General features: G+C 38.8%; 1 protein-coding gene across 3 annotated transcripts, besides 4 other annotated features; it reads left to right on the forward strand.

Annotated features, from left to right (window-relative positions):
- Positions 3 to 402: an enhancer, noted in NCBI's record as "active region_21809". NCBI's record gives its function as "activates an Ori minimal core promoter by ATAC-STARR-seq in GM12878 lymphoblastoid cells {active_cell/tissue: GM12878}" and the evidence as "EXISTENCE:reporter gene assay evidence [ECO:0000049][PMID:35858748]".
- GAR1 (GAR1 ribonucleoprotein) lies at positions 105 to 9,332 on the forward strand. Of its 3 annotated transcripts, none has more exons than NM_032993.2 (7): positions 105 to 140; positions 748 to 973; positions 2,531 to 2,685; positions 3,596 to 3,655; positions 6,942 to 7,083; positions 8,560 to 8,628; positions 9,013 to 9,332. In NM_032993.2, exons 2-7 carry the CDS (start codon positions 760 to 762, stop codon positions 9,024 to 9,026), a joined length of 654 nt encoding a protein of 217 aa, NP_127460.1. In that variant the 5' UTR covers positions 105 to 140; positions 748 to 759; the 3' UTR covers positions 9,027 to 9,332. The 3 variants fall into 3 exon arrangements, with proteins under 3 accessions (NP_127460.1, XP_047271745.1, NP_061856.1); XM_047415789.1 differs by having other exon boundaries at positions 120 to 600; NM_018983.4 differs by lacking the exon at positions 105 to 140 and adding an exon at positions 357 to 399.
- Positions 413 to 462: an enhancer, noted in NCBI's record as "active region_21810". NCBI's record gives its function as "activates an Ori minimal core promoter by ATAC-STARR-seq in GM12878 lymphoblastoid cells {active_cell/tissue: GM12878}" and the evidence as "EXISTENCE:reporter gene assay evidence [ECO:0000049][PMID:35858748]".
- Positions 813 to 862: an enhancer, noted in NCBI's record as "active region_21811". NCBI's record gives its function as "activates an Ori minimal core promoter by ATAC-STARR-seq in GM12878 lymphoblastoid cells {active_cell/tissue: GM12878}" and the evidence as "EXISTENCE:reporter gene assay evidence [ECO:0000049][PMID:35858748]".
- Positions 1,033 to 1,102: an enhancer, noted in NCBI's record as "active region_21812". NCBI's record gives its function as "activates an Ori minimal core promoter by ATAC-STARR-seq in GM12878 lymphoblastoid cells {active_cell/tissue: GM12878}" and the evidence as "EXISTENCE:reporter gene assay evidence [ECO:0000049][PMID:35858748]".
- Positions 9,333 to 11,131: the final 1,799 nt, after the last annotated feature.

Here is an 11,131-nt window from a genome sequence, read left to right on the forward strand (position 1 = left end):
AGAAACCTGCCCCGCCTCTGGGAGAGAAGGCGGATCCCTAACGCCAGCTATCTCCAAGAGCAACATTGCCGCAGCACTTCCGGGACGTCGTGCTGCAAAGGACGCCGCTGTTATACGTCACTTCCACGGCTCAGCGTCAGGCAAGTTGGCCTCTCTGTTGTAAATTAGTGGTTAAGGTTATCTATTATTGCCACTTTTCCAGCGCTAAAGGCTGTTTTGGAACCAGTGTTGCTTGTTCCGCGGGTGATTGGCTTTTTTTTTTGGCAAACCAGTTATTCAAGTTTCTGGTCTTTAAAAAACTCTGTGGCGGTACGGTAACCGAGGAGGTTCCAGCGCGGCGGAAGTACCCCGCGGGTGGGTGTGTGCGCAAGGCCAGGGCCAGAGGGGCACGTGGCGCCGGTGAGTGGCCGTAGAAGCCGGAGGATTTGAAAATGCTGGACGTGGAACCCAACTGCCGGAGGGAGGGAGGAAGGAAGGGGATGCGGTGCGAAGACCTTGCTGTCTGTAGGGGGAGGAGATACTAATCATGGGGCGGCAAGGGTGGTGTGTGGTCGGTCGGCGCTCACGAGACCATGGAGAAGTAAACTCTTCACCCATCAGGTTGGTGGTCACTGGCTGTCTGACCGTGGGTGAGGTGACAGGGCTGCTTTTGTCTCCTTTATGGTGTTCTCACCGCAGCTCCGAGGGGTTGGAGTATACTCAGAGGCTACAGTGATCAGAAGACATAGGTCGTTTTTTTTTCATCAGGGAGGAGAGAGAATGTCTTTTCGAGGCGGAGGTCGTGGAGGCTTTAATCGAGGTGGTGGAGGTGGCGGCTTCAACCGAGGTGGCAGCAGCAACCACTTCCGAGGTGGAGGCGGCGGTGGAGGCGGCGGCAATTTCAGAGGCGGCGGCAGGGGAGGATTTGGACGAGGGGGTGGCCGCGGAGGCTTTAACAAAGGCCAAGACCAAGGACCTCCAGAACGTGTAGTCTGTATGCAGTCTTCAGTATTTAGCTTATTTGAAGGAGTAGGTGTGGGTTGGGGGTTTGTGTTGTTAGGCAGCAAGTTTGGGATACACAAGCCTGTGTGGAGAATGTAGCATGTAAGGGTGGAGTGGGGAGATCAAGAAAGCTGAGGGATACTTAGAATGCATCTTGGAGGTGGAACTTGAGGGTTGACAGGAAGATATTAAATAGGTAATCGTGAGTACTTATGCCTAATTCCCCGATTTTACAGATGAGAAAACTATGATTTAGAGTTAAGTTTTTTTGCTGGGGTCATAAGGTTAGTGATAAGTGATCAATTAGTGATATAGCTGAAATACAGGCTGGGTGCGGTGGCTCACGCCTGTAATCCCAACACTTTGGGAAGCTAAGACGGGAGGATCTTTTGAAGCCGGGAGTTAGAGACCAGCCTGGATAATAAAGCAGGAGACCCTGTCTGTACAGAAAAGAAAGAAATACAAAGCCAAGTATTCTGACTCCAAAGCCCATGCTTTCTGTTACTACTCAAAAGTAGATAAGTGAGAAAACAATTTGCTTGAGAGGGAAACTGCCAGAGAGGAAATCTAGAAAAACACCTATTTAGGGTAGTTTTAGAGTAATTAACAATGAGATGGGAATGGAAGTCACAGAAAGTGAAACTTACTACATTAAAGAGGAGAGAGGGTGAGTAGTGTCTAACTAAGAATGGCTTGGATGAGTATGCAGGATGGTTTGAAAGGAGCAGTTTCTAGAATAAAAGGTCCCAGCCCACAAGCTGTTGTACCAGTCCATACATGAGACCTTGAGAGCCTGAATCAGGATGGTGACAGTGAGGAAAAAAAAGGAAGGGTTAGATAGGAGAGAGATTTCAAAGGAAACAAAATCGGTAGAACTTAGCTAATGCTGATAATAAAGGGTTCCAGGTTTTGAGCTTGGGTGATAGGAATGAAGACTTGGTTTTGCAGGAATGTGGTATTTTAGTTTGGGGTGACAGTCTAGTTAGAAATAAAGGTAGTTATTTTGAGATTCCAGATGTCCTTGAAAACAATGAATCATTGTTAAAGAGGTGGTAGTGGGAATGGAAAAGTTCTAAGGCAAGAGAAAAAAAAAAAGAATGAAGGCTGATTCTGTTAGGCATTGAAGAAAAGGGAGAACCAAGAGAATGAAGCAGAGTTTTGAATCAGATAATAAGTTGTAATAACATAACTGTTACAGGTTGAATGGTGTCAGTGTGCCAGGCACTGTTCTAAGCACTTGACATTTGTTATTCCATTGAGTGCTTACATTACTGTATATTAGGTATAGCTATACATTATATGTTATTAGTGCATACTAAAAATGAGACACTGAATTAGAGAGAGGGTGGGTAACTTCTCCTAGGTCAAATAGCTAGTGTGTTGTGGAGTTGGTATACCAGCCCAGGAAGTCCTAAGACTGTGGTCTTCTGCCTCAGAGGAGAGCAGTTATGGTGAAGTCCCAGGTAGCCAAAAAGAAAGCTTCCAGAAGCAGTTGGTCAGTATCGTTTGAAATAGTTCTATGTTTTAACATTTTCTTGTCCTGTTTCAGTATTAGGAGAGTTCCTGCATCCCTGTGAAGATGACATAGTTTGTAAATGTACCACAGATGAAAATAAGGTGCCTTATTTCAATGCTCCTGTTTACTTAGAAAACAAAGAACAAATTGGAAAAGTGGATGAAATATTTGGACAACTCAGAGATTTTGTATCCTTTTTCATTGGAAGGCCTGATAATATTCAAAGGTTGCTATTTGCATTTTTCTGAGGAGGCAGTTAAGTATAAATTAAAGTTGTTGCTTCATTAAATTAGACAGGATTGCTACAGATTGGACCATGAAGGAGAATCAAGGGGAGAATGTATTCATCCATAGATATTAAAATGACAGACCCTAGAACGGTGACTTTTTTTTTGGAAAATTCTATTAATGATGGCCATTTGGATAAGTACTACAGGATTAAGTTGGCTGATTTGGATGTAGTGGTGCCACTGGAAATGTAGAATTAGAAGTTGTTTGGTGCCCCCACTACTCTGGAAACTCCTTCCTTCCTTTCTCTCTCTCTCTTTTTCTCTTTCTCTCTTTCTTTCTTTCTCTCTCTTTCTCTCTCTCTTTCTTTCTCTCTCTTGCTCTTTCCCTGCCTTCTTCCCTCCCTCCCTTCCTCCCTTCCTTCCTTTCTTTTTTCCTTTTTTTTTTTTTTTTTGACAGAGACTCACTCTGTTGCCCAGGGTGGAGTGCAGTGGCACGATCTCATCTCACTACAACCTCCGCCTCCTGGGTTCGAGCAATTCTCGTGCCTCAGCCTTTCAAGTAGCTGAGATTACAGGTGAGCGCCACCATGCCCGGCTGATTTTTGTATTTTTGGTGGAGGTGGGGTTTCACCATGTTGGCCAGGATGGTCTCAAACTCCTGGCCTCAAGTGATCCATCCGCCTTGGCCCCCCGAAGTGCTGGGTTTGCAGGTGTGAGCCACCACGCCCAGCCCCTGGAAATTCATTTCTTATCTTTCCTATATATATCCATACATTCTAACCTTGTTTTTGAAATTATACATGAATTCAGAACATTTGATATCATCTTTCATCTTAATTGCTCATTTGTTCCTTAATGAAAATAATAGTATTTTTCAGTTAAGTTGTCAGAAAACATGAAGGCTTCATCCTTTAAAAAACTACAGAAGGTGAGTCAAACTTATGATACTTGGGATCCTTGGTTTTATAAGGGAACGACCTATCTTAGGAAAGTCCTACTTGGAGCACTTGAGACTTTCCCAACATATCACTAGTAAAGCTCTTAAATTGAAATGTTCCATGCTATAAATATTGAACACACTAATCTTTAAAAGTGATTTATTTGATACAGCCTTTAGAAAGTAAAAATTACAACTTTTGCTCATATTACCAAAATCTGTAAACTGCTAGAGTAAGAGTTTTTTGTTTATGTAAAACTCTCTTATTGAAAAGCTTTCATGACCAAACATTCTAGGTAGAATCTTAATTTGTAAAACTTACGTTATTTGAGAGGCGGTAGGTACTAAGTGATTTCACAAGAACTTCAATAACATGATATATGCTATGAAGGAAAAATACAGGTTGCCATGAGAAGCTTTGTAGTGCCACCAGCTTTTTAAGTCTGTAGTGTTTCCTGAAAAAGTGAGCTTGAAGCTGAGGCCTGATTGTTGACTAACAGTGATTTCCACACCTGGTTGCATGTCAGAGTTATCTTGGGGAGCTTTTAAGAAGATGTATCTCTAGTTTCCACTTCTGGAAATTTGACCTAGGAGCTCTTAAGTAGCGTCCAGGATTCAATTTTAAAAAGGAAAAGCACTTGGATAATTTTGATGTAGTTAGTCAAACACTTGAGAGCTGCTGAGCTAGTCAAAGAGGAAGAGGAAAGTGCATTCCAAGTAGAGAAAACAGTATGTGCAGTCTCTGAGAGCAGGCAACTGAAAGGATACAAAAAGGCAGACATATAGGTTAGGAATGAAACATTTAGGAGAGGTGGGGAAAGTTGTGAATTAAGACCAGAGAGGTAGGAGGGGGCTTGATTAACTTAAGCCTTCAGGTGACAGGAAAGAGTTTAGACCTTAGTTTCAATTGTGTTTTATTTTTGAATAATGGGATAACACAGTTAAATGAATGCTTCAAAAGAATACTGGGAAGATAAAAAGGCACCTTGGGAAGCGGTCAATATTGTGTGAGAGGGGCCAGATAGGAGGCTATAATAGTAGTTCTAAAAGAGATGGTATTTTGGACTCGGTAGTGACAGTGGAAATGGAAAAAATGGATTTATGAAAGATACAGGAAGTAGAATCAATAGGACTTGGTAATTGACTAGCTATTGAAATTGAAGAAGTAAAAAAATCACCATCTTTCAGATGTCTGACATCAACATCTTTGTGGGTGATGGTACCAATTAATGAAATGGGCAACAATGCAGAGGAGGGGGATTGGGGGAAGATAATGAGTTGGGTTTTGGACATAGTGAGGTTGAGGTACTTGTGAGACAGTCATGGTCAGTTTAAAGGAAGAGTCTAGACTGGAAATAGAATTGGGAATTTGTTAAGTATACAGACAGTACATGAAACATTGTAGGAAGAAAGAATGAAAGGAAAAGAGCACCTATGAAGAGTTTTGGGGCACCTCCTAAAACTAAAGGTCTGGTAGTGGAAACTCAGAAGTAATTGCCAGTTAAAAAAAAAAAGGCAAACCACAAGCCTGTCATAAAAGTGGTATCACAAAAATTGAAAGAGTGTTTCCAGGAGGGACTGCTCAGCTATGGCAAAAGGCTGCAAAGTGTTCATTGGAAGACAGCCACATAGACATCAGGGAGTCATGGAGCCAGTGCATTGGTGGGCCCGGGAGCCAGAATGGATTAGGAAATGAGAGGGAGACAATAGCTTGTTGTCAGCATATGGCTACTAGTTGTAGAAACCTTGGCAAGTACTCAGGGGATTGACTGCTTCTGGCGTGCCTGGAGCTGTTGAGCCCAGAAAGAAACAATGCTGAAAAGGGATTCTCATCTTGTGACCTGAAAAAAAAATGCTGGTAATAGCCACTTAAATTCATCAGAATCCCTTAAATCACTTAAATTTCTCAGAATTATTTATTTGGGGGCTTATTGTTTAGTTTTTTGGGTTTTTGCTTTTTAATTACAGATACTAACTTGAGTACATTCTACCTCTCCCGGTTTCCATACCCCCTGCTATGTTGAGATTCAGCCCTCCTTACCCAGCCTGCGTTATTGTGAAGTTTGTAGACCAGTGCTCTCCACTTGAACTTTTTGTAGTGATGGGAATCCCTGCCCAGTAAAGTAGCTCTTAGCCACATGTAGCTATTGAGCACGTGAAGTGTGGCTCATGTGACTCAGGAACTGAATTTTTAAACATTAATTAATGTAAATATAAGCCACCTGTGGCTGGTGGCTGCCATATTGAACAATGTAGATCTAGACAATATTTTTGAGATGATGGGCTGTGAAGGGAAGATGAGTAATAAGGTGATATCTAGAGAGGGATTCAGAGATCTTATTATAAGTCATATATTACAGTTTTGAAATCCTCGTGTGTTTTATGTAGAAGAACTATGATACAATATGCTCTTTACATCTCATTATTTGAGAAATGTCCTCTTTAACCCCAATTATAGGATGGGTATAGTTTCTGTATATCCTTCATTACTTTGTGTGTTCAGAAGATACCCTTTTGATCCTTTATTAAAGACTTGAAACAACTAGTATGCGAATGCTTTATTTTGAATTTTAATGCTGTGTTTTTTAATAGTTTTATTTTTCTTACGGCAGTTCTGTTGAGTGGAAATGTTAAATAATCTATTTCTAAAGAGAAATGATATTGAATTGGTCTTGATTTTTTAATATGCATGTAATGCTTATTGTGTGCCAAAGTACAAGTGCCTTATATACATCACTTTTTTGATCATCACACAAACATGTGAGATAGATACTCTATTCTCTACATTTTACAGATAAGGAAACTAAGGTAAACTAACACAGGAATAGAAAACCAAACACCACATGTTCTCACTCGTAAGTGAGAGTTGAACAGTGAGAACACATGGACACAGGGAGGGAAACATCACATACCTGGGCCTGTCGGGGGATGGGGGGAAGGGGAGGGAGAGCAATAGGGCAAATACCCGATGCATACGGGGCTTAAAACCTAGATGATGGGTTGATAGGTGCAGCAAACCACCATGGCACATGTGTACCTATGTAACAAACCTGCACGTTCTGCACATGTATCCCAGAACTTAAGGTAAAAAAAAAAAAAAAAAAAAAAAAGAAACCTAAGTTAGTAAGAAATTAAGTCTCTACCCAGGGATATGTAGTAGAAAGTGGTAGGATTGGGGTTTGAACCCAGGCAGTTTTGACTCTATCATGTAGCTTCTTAATGATTATATTATACTGTCCCCCAAGTTGTATACTAATTGCTTCTATTATGTTTCCAGTTTTATATAGACCCATATAAGCTGCTGCCACTGCAGAGGTTTTTACCTCGACCTCCAGGTGAGAAAGGACCTCCAAGAGGTGGTGGCAGGGGAGGCCGAGGAGGAGGAAGAGGAGGAGGTGGCAGAGGTGGTGGCAGAGGCGGTAAGTTACTTGGGGAAAATTTCTAATGAAATTAACTGTGACTTTCACAGCTAATTCATACAATACAATTTAGCTTTGTACATAGCAAACCTCCCTTATGGTTCTTTTTATTAAAGCTGCTTTCCAATATTGGCAGATTGTCCATAATAATAATGCTTCATTTCAACAACTTACTTAAAAAGAAGAAAATCTACTAAAGTATACTTTTGAGGGACTTCATTTCTTTGGGTTATTCATGTTTTCTTGGACATTTTAATAAACCGTAAGATTATCTTAATTTTAATTCCTTAGTTAATATTATTGAGTGTAGACTGCATGCTGAAAGCTGGTCATACATTCTTTTAATTTCCATGTATATATTTTTAATACTCAGCGAAACCTTTTGAGATAGATGATATCCTTATTTTATGAATGAGGAAACGGAGACTTACAGAAATTAATTTGCCCCAATCAAACAATTGGCAGACCCAAGAATTAAAATGCATATCTTCTGATGTCATGTCAAGAACTATTACTAATAAATTCATTACTGTGATCTCACTGTTGTGATGTATGCCTTTCCCCCAAGGTTTTGGGGTATTTTGATGTATGCCTGTTTTGATGTATGCCTTTCCCCTAAGGTTTGGGCACATTCATCATTATGGACAGCTAGGTGATGAGCAGGGCTCTGGGGAGTGGGGCTGCCATGCCCTGTGAGTAGGAGAAGGGCGAGTGATGGGGTGATGGGCAGAGCCAAAGTGGAAAGGGAGAGGAGCTGAAAGTTGGGCTTGGACAGCTTTTGTTACTGGATCAGAAAAAGAGAAGGAACGCCTCACTTTTGGCGTTTCTCAATTTAATCACCATTTCACTCCATAAAGGTATTTTTTTGTGTCCATATAGGTAGGAAAATTCTCAGGGGTACCTTCTTGAGAATTTGATGAACAGAGATTCCCCTATTCTCATGTTATGTTGAGTATCATTTAACATTTCAAAAAATTCACAGCTGTCTTATTTTTTTAAAATCTTACTTATGTAGCTCAGTTAATCTTAACTATCATATTTATTATCTTACCCCCAGAGCAAAAGCACCCATATCTGCCACCCTTTGTTGTTAGGATAAAAAGCCACAGTTCCATCAAACTATCCTTAGTTGAATCAAAAAAGTATTTATCATAAGCAAGAGCTAAGGCAATAGTCATACATTTAACAAGACTGAATCATACTTTAACAAGTTTTTCTAATTTATTGAAATGGAATAATCTGGGGTTTTAGCCTGTTGCCCAGTTGGTAAACTACTACAGTTTCTCCATTTTTATCTTCTAAAATTTTTTCCCTGATAAAATATGTGAATCTATATTTATTCATTATAATTATAGTTATTGTATTGATCTTTTTAGGCTTATCAATATAAGAGGTTATACAGTTAATAACTTAATGATTATTATATTCTATTGTTATTTAAATACTTTGCGTTATTATTTAATAAATGTTTTTTAGGTGGTTTTAGAGGTGGAAGAGGAGGTGGAGGTGGGGGCTTCAGAGGAGGAAGAGGTGGTGGTTTCAGAGGTGAGTATTTTAAAAAGTCTTTAAATTGCTTAATGTTTAAAATTGATATTATCTGGCATTTTCTGTTTTTACTTAAGTTTAATTTTCTCTGCCAGCAAGTATATAGAACACCATGGTGTTCTTTGCTTAGCCTAATTTGTGGTTTCATTTTATATCACTTTTTTTTTGCCTTTTCTTTTCAATTTTTTCACCTAATTCTAATTTGTTTTGCTTTATTATTAATTTGAAAAATAAAGGTGTAATATGAATGACAGTTAAATTTGGTAAAGTATGTTTGCTAAACATTATTGGAACTAATGCTGATTTTAAACTTGAGATTTAGGTTATAATACTATTAAAAATCCATTTTCTGTGCCCTTAATACTTTAATTTTCTCTTAATCAGGGAGAGGACATTAAGTGAAACAGTTGACAGACATCACCAGTTGACTTCTGCATTAACCTGCATGATCTGTTTCTACTATGGATTGGAAACTTGTTTCTTGAACAAGTCTTGAAGATCTTGGTCATTTTATGACAATGGATCTAAAATGTCAGCATCATGCAAAGTGCAACGGAATAGTGAATTTTGCTCTAAAAGAGCATGAACAAGTCTTTCTAATGTTTTGTACAGTGCCTGGCACTCTGTGGGTGCTCAATAAATGGATAGGAGTTTTCATTTGAAGCATATTTGAATTTTTAAAATAAAGTGTTTTATTCCCTTAAGTTATTTAGAGTGTGTTTATTAAATGAAACCCATTTTTTAAAGTAGAAAGGAATAACTAAAGCTTAAACCCAGTGAATTGCAGATCGAAAAAAGGATTTGTTTATTTATATTACTGATCTTTTAAAAAATAGACTACTGTAGCAGTACTTTAAGATAATTTACAAGTTGACACTGCCTTTCAAAACCCTGGCCTTTTATGTATGAGAAGATAGCTTTGTATTTGCCTTTTGTATTTTAATACATAAATCAGTTAAGCTGTTTCTCTAATTGCAATTAATAATTGATTTAAAAATTTTCCATATTAGTAATGTATTAAAGATGCAGTAGCTCTGTTGAAGTGAAAACTATAGCAAGAAATTTCTAAAGTTAATTTTTCTCATCCAACATAAATGGAATATTAGAAGTTTTACTGAATGTTATTTTATTTTTACTTTTTTAAAGGGACTCTAAAAGTTTAAGGTGTTATTTACTACACGTAAATATTCGTGTAGTATACTACACGAATTCGATTGCATACTACATGTTCAGATTGCTGGGTAAGGATGTTAGAAATGAAATTGGTTTTGGTCACCATTGCTAGTGGATGTAAAGAAATGACTGTGGTAGCAAGTTAGAATGCCATGATATGGAGCCATTTACCCTGCCATTCATTTTTCACTTCTCAAAAGGAATGATGTTTCTATATCGTTTGTTAAATTTTCTAACATGCCCATGGAGGAACGCTCTTGAATGCTCATTTGAGGAGCATACAGTGTTGTCTTTGTCAGTATTTGGGGTTTTATCTTTTTCTGATTGATGGAATTGCAGCAGGATGAATAAATACATAGGCCATTAATATATATGATGAGCAAATGTGTTGAAAATTACAGTTTTTACAGGAATAGGCAGTTATGCTTTTACAGCTTAGGACAGGAGATTATTTGATTTGGAATTGTGGTGATGAAATTTTCATGGAGTGTTAGGGCCAGGGCTTTTGCTCGTGGTTTGGAAAAGATGTTAGTAAGCACCAAAGGGTGATGGCATTGTCCCAAGGACAAATAATAATAGCGCAACATTTCTACAGTTTGTTTTTTTAACATTAAAAATAAATCTAAAATGGCAATAATGGAAATAACATATAGATCAGTAGACAAACCAGTTGGAAATTTTACCGTTTAGCTTATGTATATCTTTTTTTCATTGTCCATCTTTAAGCTTTTATTTCCACATCTTTTCCTTTTTTTTCCTTATAGTTTCTGGGTTTATTTATTTGTTTATTTATTATTATTATTTTTTGAGACGGAGTTTTGTTCTTGTTGCCCAGGCTGGAGTGCAATGGTGCAATGTCGGCTCACTGCAACCTCTACCTCCCGGGTTCAAGCGATTCTCCTGCCTCAGCCTCCCAAGTAGCTGGGATTACAGGCATGCGCCACCATGCCCGGCTAATTTTGTATTTTTAGTAGAGATGGGGTTTCTCCATGTTGGTCAGGCTGGTCTCGAATTCCTGACCTCAGGTGATCCGCCTGCTTTGGCCTCCCAAAGTGCTGGGATTACAGGTGTGAGCCACTGCGCCTGGCCTAGTTTCTGGGTTTTTTTGAGGCATTTCATTTTGAATCAAATTCACATGTATTTCTAAGCCTTATCCCAATATAGCTTTTCTGTATCACCCATGAAGGAAGCATAAAAAAGAACTTCAAATGCACCTACCTCACTCATATCAAAACTTTCATCTGCAGCAGAAAGCTGACTATCTGAAATTATATATTTTTCAGTTCTTAGAAATAATTATTTCTGGAAAATTTTTCATGGATGCTACAAC

This window comes from Homo sapiens, chromosome 4 (genome assembly GCF_000001405.40).
Source record: "Homo sapiens chromosome 4, GRCh38.p14 Primary Assembly".
Classification (NCBI taxonomy): domain Eukaryota; kingdom Metazoa; phylum Chordata; class Mammalia; order Primates; family Hominidae; genus Homo; species Homo sapiens.

Coding starts and splice junctions, on each gene's coding strand:
- GAR1 (NM_032993.2), top strand. CDS start 760: ATGTCTTTTCGAGGCGGAGGTCGTGGAGGCTTTAATCGAGGTGGTGGA. Junction 2,686..3,595: donor TTGGACAACTCAGAGATTTT/GTATCCTTTTTC, acceptor TGAAAATAATAG/TATTTTTCAGTTAAGTTGTC. Junction 3,656..6,941: donor CCTTTAAAAAACTACAGAAG/GTGAGTCAAACT, acceptor TTATGTTTCCAG/TTTTATATAGACCCATATAA.